The sequence below is a fragment of the Homo sapiens genome, chromosome 10 (genome assembly GCF_000001405.40).
Source record: "Homo sapiens chromosome 10, GRCh38.p14 Primary Assembly".
Taxonomy (NCBI): Eukaryota; Metazoa; Chordata; class Mammalia; order Primates; family Hominidae; genus Homo; species Homo sapiens.
The window spans coordinates 61,901,029-61,920,192 of NC_000010.11; the positions used below are offsets into that span (position 1 = coordinate 61,901,029).

Sequence of the window (19,164 nt, forward strand, 5' to 3'; positions counted from 1 at the left end):
ATAATCGATAACCCACTTTTCCCTTCCATGTAAATAGGCATCAAAAGATAATTTAACAGATTAGTTCTCGAAAACATGGCAGTGAGGAAGCGTAATTTAACTATCAAACAAATCTACATGTCTAATAACAGCAAATCTGCTAAGAAGCATTAGAAAGAGGAGCAGCGCCCCGGAATCTCTGCAGGAAATGTTCTTTATATTAGACATATACAAGCAGGTCCTGTCAGATGCACAGTGGAGCTCGCTACCCCTCCTCTCCTCCAAAAATCTCATCAGACGATATCCCAGACAGGAGCGGTTAGAGAGAGAGGAATCACATCTCCACACAGTTTTAGGGTGCTTTTTATTTTTACAAATCTTCTTGTGTGTTTTTTGCCTTGATCCATCCTCTTCCCGCCGAGATCGTATGGCGCCTTTCTCTCGATTATGAATTTGATCAATCCATCTTTGGAAGAAAACCCACATAGTTTTTTCAGGAGCTGAAAATTGAGTCGTTATAGAAATATTAGGACATATTTTCAATCATTTCGGTGCCCGAAGGGAGGCAAGAGCTCAGTTTTATATTGAGACATTACGCCGGCTGAAGGCAGAGAATGCGTTTCCCTGCCAGGACCTGATGCAATCCATTCAAGCCAACAAGTTTGGAGAGAATGTTGAGTTCAATCAATTCAGAACGTCGAGATGGAGCCCAACTCACTCCAGGTATTTCGCTCTCCTCCGCTCCTCCGATCCCGGCACCCCCCGGCACCCCCCAACCCCCCAGCTCACCCACACCTCTGCACCCACCCACACCCCCCACAAACTTTTCACCAAACTTTTACCCTCTGCATCCCCCAAAATCATTTTTATTGTTTAAAAAAATCCCTGCACTGATCATACATACATAATGTAATTTTACCGCCTCAAATGGGGAGGTGGGTAGAAGTGGCGGTGGGGGGCCCTGAGTTTTTTTTTTTTTTTTTTTAGGGAAGCAGAAAATTTGTGGGTGCTATTATTTTTCCACCCAGCGTTATATCTGTTGGGTCGTCTGTATTAAGAGAGTGGATGTCTGTGTGTAAATGTGTCTGGGAATAGATGTTTGTGCTCTGATGGCTACATTATTTATTTGGTGTTTTTTTCCCCCCCTGCAGTGGGTCGGCTCACCGTGTGGCTTGCACGGACCTTACATTTTCTACAAGGCTTTTCAATTCCACCTTGAAGGCAAACCAAGAATTTTGTCCCTTGGCGACTTTTTCTTTGTAAGATGTACGCCAAAGGATCCGATTTGCATAGCGGAGCTCCAGCTGTTGTGGGAAGAGAGGACCAGCCGGCAACTTTTATCCAGCTCTAAACTTTATTTCCTCCCAGAAGACACTCCCCAGGGCAGAAATAGCGACCATGGCGAGGTGGTAAACCTGTCTGTCCCCCTCTTCTTTCTTTATTATTTTTCCCCCTAGTAATGCTTATTACAGGGCAAGCTTGAAAATACTGTATTCACTTCTGCAGGCAAGCAGGATCGACTCCTTTTTTAAAGGGGTAGCGCCACTAGCTGGGGCTCGAGTATTTTGCCATTGTCAGAGTTTGGCTGTCAGCTTTACAAAGAGGATCCAACTGCTGATTTTAGTCAAGATCAAATAACTTGTTCGAGAAGGGTTTTGTTCAAGGATGTGTGTGTGTGTGTGTGTGTGTGTGTGTATGTGTGTGTGTGTGTTCATTTGCTCTCCTGCTATTGCCTCTTGAACATCACATGCTTTTTATATTTTTTGCCTTTTGAAAATTTACCTTCGTGTCTGGCTCGGTCGTGTCTGGGTGGATTTCTTTCGGTGGGTTTCGATATTGTTCTTTTTTCAAAGTAAGTATTTGATATGTTTAAGAGGGCGGAAATTACGAAATGGAGGCAGAATGAGATCAAAAGCTATTGAGTTGGCAAAGACGTGTTGAATAAAGTGATAAATGACAGGTACTGGAATAATACATTCAAATAACTTGCAGATCTGCCCGGGCGGATTTCAAAGCGGTGGTGTAACAGGCACAAACACGTTAAGCATTAACAACTATCTCTCGCCCACTCCCCCTCCCCCCGGACAAGCCATTTGATGTTCTAGTTTGCAATTACTCCACGCAAAGTGGACGTCCTCCTGCGCGATCTTTGGGGGTGTGTGGGACGGGGGCGGGGGAGGGGAGGGCAGAGGGGTGTGTGCTCGCCCACTGGCCCTGCGGGTCCAGCGTTCTCCGTGCCCAGACGGCGCTCCCGGGGAGGGCGGGGAGGGGACAGAGCCTCCCCGGCACGTTTCTGGGCGGCCGCGGGGGCGCTCGCCGCGCTCCCGGGAGGACGCCGGAGGTGAGCCCGCTGTCACTGGGCGCCGGGGCGGCCGCCTCCCTTCGGCTCTGTCATTTCATGTGTGACCGCAGTTCTGCGGGCTCCCCTCCTCAGCTGACCGACCTCAGCGCCGTGGTACCTACCGAGGGGAACTATTTTGGGGAGTCTGTGCCCACGGCGCAGCGGGGAGGGAGGGCGCACTGCCGCCTGGCGAGGCTTTGTGTTGCCAAAGCGAGAGCAGGGTAATCAAACAGACTTTTGAGGGCAGCTAGTGCTGTGCCAGGCTCTCGAGCTTTCGAGGTAGGTGTAAGGATCTAAGGATCTTTTTGTTAAATGAATGGTTTCCCGTTTAACTCATCCCGGGGCTCGGAGCTGCCAGTCCTTCCAGAATTCCTCGGTTTGATCGAGTTGATAGTACTTTTGGCATTGCTAGTTCACTCCCTCTCCCCAGGATCGAATTACTCGTCAGTGGTCTATGCCGGTTAATTACTGGAGTTCGTCGAAACGTTCGCCCTCGAATCTGCCTTTTCGGAAATAAGCCCCTCCCACCTCCCCGCTCACCTCCCCCCTCCACCCTCCCCGGCCAGCTTTGGTTTTTAAATGTTCATATTTCCCGACGTCCGCCTGCAATTTTAAAAAGGTGTTGTTTGGAAATACTGTGAAAAATCCTGCAACCTACCAACAGGTTGAGCTCTTTCCCCCTCCCAAGGTCTGGCTCGGCCCCCTCCCCCGACCCAACTTTCCTGCGCAGCTGTCTTCCTCCCCCTCCCTCTCCCCCTCCTGATTTCTTATTATTTGCTTTTCAAATTTATTACTTCAACATGGCCTGTGATCTGGAAAAGGGAAGGATTAAATATCCAGAAAAGAACTGGTGCTTAACAGACTTCTGACTAAGTCCAGGAGGAAATTATTCAGTGTTTTATGGGATATTTTGTGGTCACTCTTTTTTGGGGGGCGGGGAATTGAAATTGGGATGTTTTTTAAAGACCCTGAGTTGACCCCACTTGGTACAGTTTTAATTTTTGTTGGTGTAATTAAATGGTGAATTCTGATTTAAGAATAAAGGCTATATTTGCCAAACGTTGCATCTGCTAGAAGTGTTGACAGTGAATAGATATATTTTTAAATACACGATTTCTTTTTAATTGTTCATTATGGGGAATTGAAAGGGAACCATTGTAATGATCTGTGCATTTCGTCACTGCTATATGAGCCATACCTGAGAAAATTAATCTTGCCATTTAAAAGTAAACTCTAGGGGGTTTGCGGAGGGAGATGGCTCTATTTATAATCCTCAGCTGCATATACATCGTCTAATATTATGCATGATTTGTTTTTTAATGCTAACACGGCTGGTAATTAGCTGTATGATTATACTTGTATATTTCATTAGGACTTTGGCTGATGTCATTGTGAATTATTCAGCCATATTAAAACAATTTTCAATTGAGATAATGACACGCCTCAAAATTATGCAAATGCAGACTGCATTGTGCAAAATAATTATGACAAATGTAAAGCAGGTAGAAAGTTTCCCAATGCAGATCGGTTTTCCACCCTGGTGATGTCATTTCCCCCCTGGCCTAAGTTAGTCATTCATTAGCAGAATAGCAGCAGCAGTCTTCTCTGGAGGAGAGCCTTACAGAAACCAGCATTTACTGCTGGCACCTAGAGGGGGCAACAGGGCCCTCTCATTAAGAAATTTGCTTTGTTTTCACTTATTCCATTAACTTGTTTATATACATTTAAATGATTTTTATTATTGATTTTAAATAGTTTTGAATGATGCATTTGCCATTTGCAATGTGTAACTGAAAGAGAAAGGTTTCTTGGTGATATGCACTGTTACTTGGAGAAAATGTTCAGCACATTTAATCAGCCAGTACAGTTTATTTTAAGTAACCAAATGGAGATTAATAATTTCTTGATTGAGCTGACATCAGCATCCATTTCGAAAGGACAGCCAGGACTCAGTATGCTTTTTTTGGTTTAAGAGAATCATTCTGCCTTTTTATGATTTCTTGAAATGTAAAGACGTCAGTTCTAAAAGCAGAAAAATGATCATTGTGCAAGATTAGAAATAGCGTCCCTGTGTGGTTTGCTGTGATTTGCAGAGGGTTTTTTTTTTTTTGGAATATTTTCTCATGATTTTTGTAATAAATTGTGGGAGGCTGGATAAGGCAGGACTTTGTACACCCATTTTACAGATGGGGACATAGACTCGGAAAGGTTATGTGGTTTGTCAAAGGTCACCAGGCTAGAACCCAGGCCTCCTTGAAATTCAAGGTTATCTTTTCTCCCCAGTGAAACCTACCCTTGAAAGCAGAGCTTGAATTCATCATATTACATTCTAGAAGTGTGTACTAATGTGAACAGTCCCTCAGACATTTTAGAATTGTAACTAGTTAATCAGTTTTGCCAAAGGTCACCAGATGTCTAGGTAGCAAAACTATCCTTATCCTGTAAAGTTAAGCTAATTCTAATCAGTGGTATATAATGATAACAGTTATATTTTAATAGTTATTAATGAGCATTAACAACTTACTATTCATTTTAATGATGATGGTGATGATTTATATGCTTATATACACCAATGCCTTCATATATAATACTTCCAGTGTTCGCAACTGGTGTTGAGGAAAAGCATTCAAGAAAGTCACATTTTGATTCTGCAGCTTGCTATTTGCTTAATCTTGAACAACCATAAGTACTTGGAACCTCAGTTTCTTCAGCTGCAAAATGGGAACAAAGTAGGGATGACTATAGATTGTTGGTGAAGATCAAGAGGATTTATAGGCAAAAGAGCTTTATATACTATAAAGTACTTAAATAAATAGAAAATAATTATGATTATAGTGACCTTTGTTCTAGATATTCTTAATTTTATAAACAATAAAAAAAAAACTTGTGTCTGTGTGGAGGTTCTTGGACCTAAAAATGATACCATCTTAAATTACCATGAAAATGAATAGCAGGGCCATGTGCAAGGAGTTAAGTGTCTTTAGTAATTACTTAGAATTGCCACATTCAGCCACTAGCTCTTCAGAGGAGGAAAATGGCAAAGTAGGCGGGTAATTGGTTCTGTTACTGGATAACTTCTGATTACATTCATTTTCCAATTGCCAAGTGCTTAATCTATTGGCAGTATACCCTCTTAAAATGGGTGGATATGCAAGCTTGGATTTCAGCCTGACCAGCCATCGCTGGGATTTTATAAGAAGGTTTGCTGGTCACCTCCAACTGTGCTTGTGGATGGCTAAGCTAATGATGTCCAGGAGTCAAGATCAGGCATACCTGGATGTTACAGATTCTAGCATGCATTCCAGATTTCTAAAAGTGATTCAGTTATCACCAGCCTCACTACTGAATTAAAAAATGCTAAAAATCCATGTTCTGGGGCCCCTATTGAAGTCTCCTCAAATAGAATCTCTAGAGTTGGGTCCAGGAGTCTGAATTTTAAATATTTAAACAGTCTCAGTCTAGCTGTGTTATCTTGGGCAAGTTCTAAACTCTCTGTGCCTCCGTTTTCTCATCTGTAAAGTGGAAATACGGTCCTTATTTCCTAGGATTATTTTAAGGATTAAATAAGTTAATATATGTAAAATGCATATGCCCAAAGTTGACACATAGTAGATACTTCAATAATGGTTGACTGTTGTTATTATCATTAATATTAGCATTAATCTCACTGAGGTTTGAAACCACTACCATGGAGCTTACTGAAAAGTTTTTCCGTGTGAGGGAATGGCACCTAGGTGAGTTTGCTAGGACATGTGGGCTTCCAAATCCTACCGAATCAGGCTATCTTTCATCTCCATGTTGGCTTTAGCTGTGTCACCAAAATAAAAAGTGTCTTAAGGATTTACATTTTAGTGCAGAAGTAAACTGTCAACTGGATCAGCAGGATTTTTTTTTTCAAAAGATTGCCTGATTTGGTCATATCTGGAGTTAGACAGACACATTCTGGAATTTAGAAGGTGCTGGATTAGTCTTGCTCTTCTCTTTGGATAGCTCCTCAGTCTTGGTCTATATCCATAAGGTAATTTTTTAGAGATTTCTGAGACCTCTTAAATGACCACACTGGCCTTAGACAATTGTTTTAACTTTTTTAAGCCTCTGTTTCTTCCTCTGTAAAATGGATTTAATGGCCTCAACTGTGCTGGGAATCAGAGATAATAATGAAAAGGGTCTGGAATCTAGCATAGTATAGTACCTACACATGAGAGTTCAATGAATAGTGGTTGCACTTATAATAGTTATTATTTATTTTTAGTAATCATCTTAAGCTAAGAAAAGGATTTATCTTTACTCTCTACCAAGCAGGCCTTTTAGAACAAAGATAAGAATGTAAAGAATTACATGGAGAGAAATTACTGGACTGTGACAAGAGTCAGCCAAGTAAGGCCTGAAGGCCAAATCTGGCCCACTGTCTGTTTTTGTGAATAAAGTTTTATTGGAATGTGGCCATGCTAATTTGTTTATGGCTGCTCTCAGGCTCCAACAGCAGAGTTGAGTTGTTTTGACAGTTACCAGATCGCTGACAAAGTAGAAATATTTATTATCTGGCTTTGTTAAGAAAAACGTTGCTGACCCCTGGCCTATGCGGTTGATCTGCAATAAGGTAGATGATTGTGTACCTATTTTTCTTTCTTGAGTTTTGGCCATTAACCAGTAATAGCAGAAATATAAGAAACTTAAGTAATATAAGAAATTGTACTTCAATATTATATCATTAACGTTTACATATCCAATCCAATTTCACCATTGGTTCTAGGACATTAAAATTTGAGAATGAGTGAAATAATATTAAATTATATTTTGTATGGTTAAGAGCGAAACTTTAGCCAATATTAGTATTGTCTATTTTGAGTTAATAAAAAACTACTCGTGAAGTTCTATGTGCTCAGTACTCTGCTAGGTGAAGAGACAGATGCAAAATAGTTTGCGATGTGACCCTTTTTCTGAATAAATTTATCAGTCTTGATAAGGAGATGAGATCAACATGTCTAAAAATGTAAAAGCAATATGAGTCACAACACATCAGTAAATTGTGCTGATAATACATGTCATAGGCATCCAAAGGAAGGCTCCCAACCATCATGTTTTTTGGAAAAAGAATTCATTAAATTTCTCAGATGTTGATTGAAAACCTACTGTGTGCTGGCACTTGGATACAAGAGATTAAGGAGAATGGCCTCGGCCAGGCATAGTGGCTCACGCCTGTAATCCCAGCACTTTGAGAGGCCGAGGCAGGCAGATCACGAGATTGAGAACATCCTGGCTAACATGGTGAAACCCCGTCTCTACTAAAAATACAAAAAAATTAGCTGGGCGTGGTGGTGGGCACCTGTAGTCCCAGCTACTTGGGAGGCTGAGGCAGGAGAATGGCGTGAACCCGGGAGGCAGAGCTTGCAGTGAGCCAAGATTGCACCACTGCACTCCAGCCTGGGCAACAGAGCAAGACTCCATCTCAAAAAAAAAAAAAAAAAAAAAAAGAAGAAGAAGAATGGCCTCTGCCCTCAAGGAGTTCCCAAACTGCCTTTGTAGACAGACAGTGATCACAGAAAAGGCCATCAGACTCTTTCCATCTGTGTTCCTTAGTTTAAGTTGAGACGAACTGAGATCACTATTTATTTGTAGCATTTCTTAATCTTTCCGGAAATTAGAAAGTACTGTCTTCATCTTTGAATTATTACTTCCTGGACACATATTTGTAGAGCACCTATTATGTGCCAGATCCTATTCTAGGCCCTGGGGATGCAGCATGAACAAGACAGACAAAAATCACTGCTCCCAGGGAGCTTATAGTCCAGTGGTTGGTTGTAACCTGTCGTGCACTTTATACCTTGTGCCTTATAGTTATCTGTGTTCTTTTCCTTTACCTTGTCACCTGACCCTATGCTCCCCCCACCATAGTGCTGTTCTCAGGAGCAGGCAGTTGTGCCTTATTCACCTCTGGGTCCTCTGCAATATTTAGTGCTATTCAGTGAGTTTTTTTTTTTTTTTTTTTTTTTTTGAGACGGAGTCTCGCTCTGTCGCCCAGGCTGGAGTGCAGTGGCGCGATCTCGGCTCACTGCCAGCTCCGCCTCCCGGGTTCACGCCATTCTCCTGCCTCAGCCTCCAGAGTAGCTGGGACTACAGGCGCCAGCCACCGCGGCCGGCTAATTTTTTGTATTTTTAGTAAAGACGGGGTTTCACCATGTTGGCCAGGATGGTCCCGATCTCCTGACCTCGTGATCCACCCGCCTTGGCCTCCCAAAGTGCTGGGATTACAGGCGTCAGCCACCGCGCCTGGCCTTCAGTGAGTATTTTCTGAGTGACTGAACGACATAATTAAAATGCCTTCTTGCACACAGTCTACCTTTTTTAAGCTTTACCCAGTTTCTTTCTGGCAGATGACCAGTGACCAGTCATTCACATGTGGGCCAGATCCACGACCCCATCTCACACTTCTTCTTTCTCTTCCAAAGTCTGTAGTCATTTTGCACTGTAGAATGTGAAAACATGGGAAGTGGTTTTTTCACAGGGGCACTCACCAAAGAAACAAGCAAATATTTGAAAGATTAGACTGGAGGCAGCATCTCTGTTTCGTTGTTAATTTTCCAGTCTCAGCAGTCAACCCATAAAAAGTCAGGGCTTTGGGGTGGCAACCTATGAAAAGACTAGACTTCAGGAAAGAAGATTCACTCCTCGCCTGGTGTTGGTTGGCAGTTCATACGAGCCAGCATGTTTTTCAGGCTGATGGTCTTAACTAAGCCACATGTTTGATAGTGCCTCACAATTGTAAGCAATTAAAACCTCTCGACAATTAGACTGTCAGACACATACTAAGGAAATGTTATTTTTATGAAATACAAGAGTCCATACATGTAAATACTTCATTATTAATTATTAATAAAGCATGCCATTGTTCATAGTGGCATCTAGTGATATATGACTCAAGCTCATTTATCAAAGTCTAGTTTTAACCAATATCCAGAATATAATTGCTTGAACCAAATGCATTCACTTGTCATTTTTTATAGCCAGTGTAGTTGGATATTTGCCATCTTCTACTCAGAATAATACTGTAGCTAGTGACTACCCGTTGCCTTGGCTTTTAAGGAAATTTAAAACAAATTTATCGATTGTTGGCTTAAGGATTCATTCACCTCTCAGAGATGTGGTCATGGATTCCCTCATTTCTTGAAGAATCTACACTGCACAAATCCAAGGATGCATTTTTCTGGCCACGCTGTGTTCCTCACTGACTTGCTGGAGATGAGAACCTTGGTCTTAGCCCTCCAGCATACATCCCTCATGCCCTGGACTATGAGCATCAGTATCGACAACACATTTCAAACATGCAGATGATGATGATTATTGAAAGGGTGCTTTAGAATCATGCTAATGGCATCAATCTCTCGCACACACTTGGGTAAATTAATTCTGCTTTTAAAATCAGATGCACTGTTAGCAGCGTTAAAGATGGATATTTGACATTTATCACGCAGACTAGGATGGGTGGTTTAATTACGCGAATTTTCTGTAGGATCTTTGTGGCTGTATAAATAGACGCACAGTGGCGTGTGTCCTTGGCATATGACCATCAGGTTCACAGTCACATCTCCATTCCTGTGCCCCAGTAAGAACCCCAGGCGGCAAAGGCCAAATGTTGCTAGTCAATCTAGTGACCCCATAAACATCTTTTCCCCCACCTTTCTTTTCTCATGACTCCAAGCACACCCGGGCTATGAAACACCCCTTCCACCCCATAGTTGAGTTCCAAGCCTCATCAGTGGCACTAAACATTAAACTCTTGTCTTTGAGAATAATGGGCTTTGCTTTCTACACCCTCAAGCATGTTGAGCTACTGTGCAAGCTGGAAAATAAAAATGTTCTAATTGTGTCTTTTAAATAAGCATAGGAGTGAATTAATTAGACCATATTTTGTCTTTAGTTGCTTAGTTACACAATAGTATTCCTGAGCACGAGTAAGATAAATTGGCTCTTTTTGTGCTGCTTGTCCCTTAATCATAATTACTGTATTGCTTAGGAGAGTAAAGCATACATAGATTTTGAATTTTTTATTAATAGTCAAAAATATGCATATGATATATAAAGTATATGCTGTTCAACCTGTTTTATATGTGGGAAGAAGTTTTATTGTGGTGGTAACATTTGCATTAGTTGCTCAAAGATGTAGTTCTGGGAAATACATAATTGAAATGTTTTTGAATTGCTTTTTCTGGCCTTTTCAATCTTATTCAAAATAATAGTGCTTCCAGTCCTGGAGTAGTCATTCTCATTTGATTTAACATCTTTCTTTGCACTGCACGAGCGGCACCCAGTTTTAACCCTGCAGAGCCTAGATGAAGTTCTGTGATTCATAGGCCATACATTGTGCCTTATGTTTTTTGGCTCATGCTCTTGGGGCTTGGGGGGCAGCGGGCAGAAGGGTGCCTTTGTCTTGCCGTCATTATTCCAATGCCCTTCGCCCTTGGCTCACTTCCATGCTCCTTAAGGAAGGTTCTAGGGTTAGAGAGTGTAAGAGTTTTTTTAGCATGAGCTGGACAACTATCTGTGCTTGCCTGCTGGGGTCTTGCAAAATGAAATGTTGCTACTGGAAGTTGGGTTTCTAACCGCCTACCCCAACCCTCCACCAAGGAGGGCAGCAGGAGTTAGACAGCTTGATATAGTTATTGAACAATGAGAGAGTCTGGATTATGACCCAGGATACTTGCTTGGTAAATGTATGTGAAAATCGACTCCATTGTTCTATTGTATTTGAAAAGCAAGTAAATTATTTACAGATATTTGCTAATTAAAGCATATGTTGTTTCACAAGCACAAAGGATCGCAGTATAACTGGAGACAAAGAACTAAGTGCAAATAATTTAAATTCACTAATACTGTGTATTCTTCTTAAGGGAGGAATATGTTTTTAAAATGTGTATATATAGGGTGTTGGTCAAAAGGTACAAACTTTTAGTTATAAGATATTCATCATATATATGTGTTCATCTTCTATCTGGAGATCTAATGTATAGTATAGTGACTATAGTTAATAGTACTGTATTGTATACTTGAAAATTGCTAACAGAGTAGATCTTAAGTGTTGTTACCACATCAAAAAAGGATAACTGAGGTGATGAATGTTAATAACTTGATTGTGGTAATCTTCATGATATATATGTACATCAAATCATCACATTGTATACCTTAAATATATACAACCATCATATTGTATACTTTAATGTATACTATTTTTGTTAGTCAATTATACTTCAATAAAGCTGGAGAAAATAAAAGTATATATATAGGCATATATATAATTATGTGTGTATATATATGCATGTTTATATATATATATATATATGTATACACACATACACACACACACATACAGATAACTTGTCCTGTTATCTCTGTATACATTACACATATATACATACTTTTTTTTTAACCCTTCCAAGGGAAGTCTCGCATGCTACAGAGATAGCAAGCCAAGTTACCCCCCAGTTGCTTGTCACTAAGCTTGCCCTAAGCTCTCCAACGGAAGATGAGATGGAAACAGTTTTGACAGAATGCTATTTTCCCTTTGGTTTTTGCTTGCCATTATCTAGTTTGAGCTCAGCTCAGAGTATCACTAGAAATAAGGCAAATTAGCCAGATACAGTATCAGAGAATAAAAATGTTCTCACCCATTCCTTTGTCCTCAGACTTTCCTGAATGTGATAGGCTCAGGTTTAGTTGTTTTTCTTCTGTTTTGGCAGTGTTCTGGTTGGAAATTTGCACTGTGGAAAAGACGCTGGTGATACAAGGCAAAAGGCAGACCAGTGAAGGTCAGATGCAGAAAAGGTCATTGATAATGTTCTCAGAGACCTTTTCCTGGCTGGAACTTTGGTGTATCCATTGGTAAAGCTGGTCTCTCTGGCTGTGCTGTCTGCCAACATGTTTGGTTTTAGGCATGGCTAGCTTAAAGTCCCTTGGTATTGTTGATAACGATGGTCAAGAAGAATTGCCATGGTTATTTAAGAGAAAGGCTCATGTCTAATTTGCCATGGACAATTCTGTAGACTCACAAGATAACAGATAAAAGAGACTGAGAAGAACAAATCCAGCCCTCTTTATTTAATAGATGCAGAACCTAAGGCCCAGAAAAATCTTGGGCATGTCCTCAGAACTAGAGAGTGACAGAAGTGGAACTAGGATTCAGTGTTCTCAGGCACCACAGTCTGGTCGGCTGTTTTGTGGGGAAGGGGCTGCTCTCTTGAGGTCATGTGCTGAGGAAAGTAGGCAAGTGCTTCCCGTGGCTGTGTTCTTGGTAGGTCATTCCAGTGCCCTGTCTTATACCAGTGCATGGTGCCATGGGGGACATCACTTTTATAAAACAACTCATGGAGAGTATGGACTTTACTGGAATGGCAAGATACCTTGTTTTGTTTGTTTGTTTGTTTTTGAGATGGAGTTTCGCTCTTTTTGCCCAGGCTGGAGTACAATGGCGCAATCTCAGCTCACCGCAACCTCCGCCTCCCAGATTCAAGCGATTCTCCTGCCTCAGCCTCCTGAGTAGCTGGGATTACAGGCATGCACCACCATGTCCGGCTAATTTTGTATTTTTAATAGAGACGGGGTTTCTCCATGTTGGCGAGGCTGGTCTTGAACTCCCGACCTCAGGTGATCCACCCGCCTCAGCCTCCCAAAGTGCTGGGATTACAGGCGTGAGCTACCGCGCCCAGCCCTGGAATGACAGGATACTTAGCAGAGAGTTAGTGATTACACAGAAGCCAGGATTGATATCCAGGATCCCAGACTGGACATCACCTTCATTTCTATAATTTTTCCTGAAGCCAGGAGGGCCCTCTAATGGGATGCTATTTATGTTGGCTGAAGAAAAGCTTCGCCAAAAGTTGGCAATGTTGGTAATAAATGGAATTGGTACTTATGCGAACATCTGATACTCATGGATGGTTTCATCATTCAGAAGTGTGTATCTACTATATGCCTACTATGTGTCAGTTCTCTGTGCTGTTAAAGGAGCAGTTAAAGTGAGTGCCTACTATGTATCAGTTCTCTGTGCTGGGGATATAATAGTGAACAATGAGTGACTAGTACACAAAGATTTCTGTTCTCAGAGAGCACATTTTCTCTCCTATAGTAAGAAGGAAGAAGCAACTTGATTAATTTGTCCCAAATGGAGGGAAAACCATCTCCATACATTGTAGTCTTAAAACCGAATTCACGCTTCCTTCTAGAGTGCTTTCTCTGTGTATTCACAGCCCAGAGAAAATGCCCCATATTTCTCTTTCCCGAAACCATCTGCAAAATTTTCACCCACTGTGTTTTCAATGAAGTCAAAGTCACAACATTTTCCATTAATTCAGTGACCACTTATATGTCAGGCATTGCAAATACATTAACATATAAATTAAATATAAATAAAATATCTCATTTAATTCTCATGGATACTCTATTATGTCCGTAGTATTTTGACATTTCCATACTTTGTAGGTGATGCAGCTGAGGCCAACAGAGGTTAAAGGAACTTGCCCAAGGTCACACATAGGTGAGACTCAAGAGTCGGGATTGAAACCCATGTTCTCCCGATGCTGCGAAGACCAGTGGGCGAGCTTAGTTTCTCATTATAACTTTAGAATATATTGAGAACTCTCAATATCAGCACTGGGGTTTTCACTATATACTGATGTATTCTTTAATTGAGTCTTTATGAAAGCTTCTTTCCTGCTCTTTAGGGACTTGCACAGTTGACTGATACCCAGATAATAGTAATGCCATGCACACAGGTAATACACTTTGAAAGGGCACTTTACACTCCACATAGCGCCTTTCTCACATTTCACAGGAGAGAAGTCTCAGACTCAGTACCTCCAGCGTGACTTTGTGTGCAGCCCAGCACTGCGCACTGGAGAGAGAGAGGTGGAAAACCAGGCAGATCCTGCCGCCATGGAGCTTACCATCAGGTGGGGACCACGCATAGTATATAAACTTATCACAAACAAAGGGTGATTCTGTGATGTGGTCAAGGGGATGAAGGGCAAATACAAGTGCCTATGTCAGGGGTACATGATTTTGTCGGAAAGGTCTCAGGAGGCATTTTAGAAGAAATATCATTTGAGTTGAGGTCTAAAGGGATCTGGGGGTGAAGATTGGGAAGTTTCTAGGCAAGCTGTATGGTGAGCACTACCTCCCTGCAGAATGGTTTCTGGGCTGGGCTTGGCCTTGGTGAATTCGTAGCCAGGTTAGAGATGTCCGTTTGCCCACTGGAGGGACCAGTTGGTCTAGGTATCATCTAGACACCTGGGGTGCATATTTAGAGCTAATGTACATCATTTGGCTATGGAGATGGTTGAAAACACGGCAAGCTAAGGCAAACTAAGGCCCATAGGCCAACTCTGGTCTACTATCTGTCTTTGTTTGTTTGTTTTTTGTTTGTTTGTTTGTTTGAGACAGAGTCTCGCTCTGTCGCCCAGGCTAGAGTGCAATGGCACGATCTCAGCTCACTGCAACCTTCACCTCCCAGATTCAAGTGATTCTCCTGCCTCAGCCTCTGGAATAGCTGGGATTACAGGTGCCCACCACCATGCCTGGCTAATTTTTGTATTTCTAGTAGAGACTGGGTTTCACCATGTTGGTCAGGCAGGTCTTGAACTCCTGACCTCAAGCAGTCCACCCACCTCAGCCTCCCAAAGTGCTAGGATTACAGGCGTGAGCCACCGTGTCTAGCCTTGTTTGTTTGTTTTTGAGATAGGGTCTTGCTCTGTCACCCAGGCTGGAGTGCAAAGGCGTGGTCTTGCCTCATCGCAACCTCTGTTGCCCAGGTTCAAGTGATTCTTGTGCCTCAGCCTGCCGAGTAGCTGGGATTGCAGGCAGGTGCCACCCCACCCAGCTAATTTTTATATTTTTTTTAGTAGAGATGGGGTTTTGCCATGTTGGCCAGGCTGGACTACCTGTTTCTGTAAATAAAGTTTTATTAGCACAGAGCCATGCCCACGTTTACAAATGGTCTCTGGCAGCTTTCGCACTATAGTGGCAGAGTTGGGTGGTTGCAGCAGAGACTATATACCACACAGAGCTTAAAACATTTACTATCTGGCCCTTATATAAAATGCCAACCCCTCATTTAAAATAATATTAATAAAAGTAATAGTAAAACTAGGTCCTGACAGATTAATATGTGACATTTTATTTACTCTTCATAACAGTAATACTGTGAGGTAGATTCTAGTATCATCTCCATTTTGCGGGAGGGTAATTTGAAAGGTTAGGTAACTTGTCCGGGTTTCCAAATTCACTCACCTGGTGAATGACAGAGACTGAATGGGAACTCAAGCTGTTTTAATTCCAAAATGCAGGTGACAGAAACATTGTGCTGTCCTGTTTACAAGTAGAGGAAACGGGAAGTATAAGAAAAGGGTGGTAAAGTTAGCTGAGGTTTTACTCTGTGAAATAAAACTGCGCAACAGCTGTATCCGTCTTTCAAGGTCCCATTTAAAAGCCACCTCCTCCTTGAGGTCTTCCATTGACTGTCTAGGAACAAGGAAGCCACAGAGGCACAGGTGTAAGTGCCCTCTGGGTCAGGCAGATAAGATCAATGAGTGACTGGGCCAGGTCTGGGAGACAATATGATATTCAGGGGAACTGGGGAGCGCACGACTGGTTTGAGGCATGCCTCTAAAATGTTCCTCTTGAGCCAGGTGCCATGGCACATGCCTGTAATCCCAGCTACTTGGGAGGCTAAGCGGGGAGGATCACTTGAACCCAGGAGTTCAGGGTGAACCATGATTGCACCACTGCACTCCAGCATGGGCAACAGAGTAAGATCCTGTTTCTAGTAAAAAAAAAAAAAAAAATTAATTAAAAAAATAAAATGCTCTTCAGTTTCTACCTAGCATTGCTGGGCAGGAATGTCAGTCTGAGATATTGACAAATCTTTCCATTTTTCAAGAGAAGCCAGAAACCTAGATTTTCATGTGATTTTAGTTGACCATTCTATTTATTTATTTATTATTTATTTAAGACAGAGTCTCGCTCTGTCGCCCAGGCTGGAGTGCAGTGATGCCATCTCGGCTCACTGCAACCTCCACCTCCTGGGTTCAAGTGATTCTCTCTACGTCAGCCCCGCTGAGTAGCTGGGATTACAGGAAAGCACCACCACGCCCGGCTAATTTTTGTATTGTTAGTAGAGATGAGGTTTTGCCATGTTGGTCAGGCTGGTCTCACTGCACCTGGCCCAATCCAATTTTTAAAACACTCTTTGTGGGCCAAACAAAATGTGTCTTCTGTCCAGATGTGGCCCACAGGCTGCCACCTTGCCATCTCTAGAGCAAAGCTTTGGACTATTACAGTTTTTAAAACTTTCTCATATTTGGCCCATTTTCTGTAACTAAAGCAAAAAGAACCGTTGGTCCCAAAGGGGCTGTTAAAAATGGGGTGGGGAGAGCCACGTGGATAAAGCCAGGGCTCTGGAGTCTGGAGGGATGGCAGGAAGAGATGTGCAAGAAGAAGAGCTTGGCTCTGCCCTGGAGTCTACATTTAGGCTTGAGGAGGGAGGCAGGGACCAGCTGTGGAAAGAAGTGCATGAGTGTGAAGGTGACCTGTAGCCATCCTGGAAGGTGTCCTGGAGAAGGGGCCCTTGAAAACACCTAGGGATGGATGAGGGTAAGAGATGAGAAAATCCTAGGCAGAAGCAAAGCCACAGGCAAGTAGGAAGGAAGGACATACCAATACCGGATATGGTCTGGATTTGGTAAGAGAGCACAGGTCTAGTGGGAAATGAGGTAGACTGAGGCCAGACTGCAGGGGAGCCTAGCATGTCATGTGGACTTGAATCTGAAGGCGGTGCTGCTGAATAAATTCACATGTCTGTTTTCTCTTTCTAGTTAAAATATAAACCCTTAGCCTTGAAGAGTAGTTAAATGGAGTGTGAATATTTACTCTGCCAGTTAGTAGCTGTGTGTCATCTTGACCAACTTGCTTAATCTCTCTGGCATCTCAGTTTCTTATCTGTGAAATGGCTTGATCTTGCTGGGCTAAGAATGTCAAGTGAGATGCTTATGGGCATAGAGCACAAAACCATGACCTGGCTTATCCTAGGTCTGCAGCAGATGTTGGTTATTGACCCTGCCCTCCCTGGTCAGGGACCACATCCTAAGTTTTGAAGTCTTAGTGCTAGGCTGTTAATAACTCCTTAATAACTAATTTATGGGTTGAGATATTGGACTATTATTTGAAAAACAGGAACTAAGGAAACTATCATATTAAATAGAGTTAAACTTCCTGGTTTTTCATTTACCCCAAAAGACTTCTCTTGTGTTTAGGTTCAACATTTTTTATCTATATCTGTGATTTCCAGTCACTTTGAAGGAGACATGTTCAAATCCATTCTATTCTGTTCCATGTAGATGTTAAAGGTACATTAGGGGCCAGGCACGGTGACTCATGCCTGTAATCCCAGCACTTTTGGGAGGCTGAGGTGGGCAGATCACTTGAGGTTAGGAGTTTGTGACCAGCCTGGCCAACATGGTGAAACCCTGTCTGTACCAAAAACACAAAGATTAACTGGGTGTGGTGGCATGCACCTGTAATCCCAGCTACTCAGGAGGCTGAGGCAGGAGAATCTCTTGAACCTGGGAGGCGGAGATTGCAGTGAGACGAGATTGTGCCACTGCACTGCAACTCCAGTCTGCGTGACAGAGCCTGACTCCGTCCCCCCCCCCCCCCCCAAAAAAATAAAAGGTGCGTTAGGGGACATCTCTTCCATTGGCCATGTCAAAATTAACTGAGATAGGAGTAGATGGAGTCAAGAGACAAAACTGGCTTCCCAGATGTTTGATCTAAGTGCCCCACCCTCCACCCTGCCCTTTCATGATGCAACCATCAGGAAACCTGGTATTGATCTGCAAAATGTGCAAAACATTGAATTCATTTTAAATATACCCACTATTCCTCCATTTCAAAAAAGTTTCCTGTATTTTCTTTTCTTAAAAACACCCCTAACTTGAAAATTTGCTTCATCCCTTTGTCCCCTTCCACCCCACCGTCTTCCTCATTTGGGGATGCTCATGGTAGAGGGTGTATTCCAATCCAACTCTGAAAGATGCAAAAAGCATCAGCCAGACCATGTAAAGGGAAAGGTCCCAGCCAAAATGGCTGGGGGGAATCTCAGAAGGATCTTCCAAATAGAGGTAGCCTTCTGGGCCATTAAATCCTTTTGCTTTGGATTAATCCCACAGTGTATATCAGATCACTAGAATTCAGATGAAAACACTGCTGTAGTACTCAGTCTCCTCGCCAAATGATTCCAAAATATATAGGTTATAAATACAGAAAAAATAACTGAATTCGATATTTCTTAAGTGAAATAATCTGTTCCTTGTGAATATTCTCTGTAATAGTCTAATAGTATTTTGTGCTCCTGGGGGCTGAGTGTGTTTTTAGCAACAATGCATTGGTTGTAAAATATGCATCCCTAACTATCTGGACAGACAAGAAAGAGGGCTCTAGTAAAAAGACTGAAGTTTTTTTTTTTAAATGCAGATCGTATGAATCACATAAATGGTGGTGTCTAAAAATTATCAACAAGCTCTGGGTTTGTTTTTATTTCTTTACATTATAGGTCCTCTTTCTCACTCCACATTTTTGATATTACTAGATCAGTAATTCAAGAGACAGCCAAGCAGGTGTTCACATCTCTCCTGACCCCCAGAATTCCTTAAATGACCCCTTGAGGCAGTGGAGTAAAAACATTCTCAGCATGTCAGAATATTGAGATATCTCAGTTGTCTTAATTTTTTTTTCTTTTTGCCTTAATCTTTACAGGCTTTTTGTGTGTCCTTTTTTCTCTCTGCTTAAGCCAAGAGGAA

At 42.1% G+C, this 19,164-nt stretch overlaps 1 protein-coding gene across 1 annotated transcript in view, besides 2 other annotated features; it reads left to right on the top strand.

The window, feature by feature from the left end:
* Nucleotides 361-863: an enhancer, noted in NCBI's record as "H3K27ac hESC enhancer chr10:63661148-63661650 (GRCh37/hg19 assembly coordinates)". NCBI's record gives its function as "activates a minimal SCP1, AML or CMV promoter by ChIP-STARR-seq in naive H9 embryonic stem cells {active_cell/tissue: H9 hESC(naive)}" and the evidence as "EXISTENCE:reporter gene assay evidence [ECO:0000049][PMID:30033119]".
* The window catches only part of ARID5B (AT-rich interaction domain 5B), a 195,246-nt gene continuing 176,752 nt past the window's right edge, over nt 671-19,164 (top strand). The window contains exons 1-2 of the mRNA NM_032199.3: nt 671-702; nt 1,131-1,385. Of these exons, the coding sequence (NP_115575.1) occupies nt 682-702; nt 1,131-1,385 (276 nt within the window). The 5' untranslated portion in view covers nt 671-681. The remainder of the gene's footprint in view (nt 703-1,130; nt 1,386-19,164) is intronic.
* Nucleotides 2,103-2,422: a silencer, noted in NCBI's record as "silent region_2394". NCBI's record gives its function as "represses an Ori minimal core promoter by ATAC-STARR-seq in GM12878 lymphoblastoid cells {active_cell/tissue: GM12878}" and the evidence as "EXISTENCE:reporter gene assay evidence [ECO:0000049][PMID:35858748]".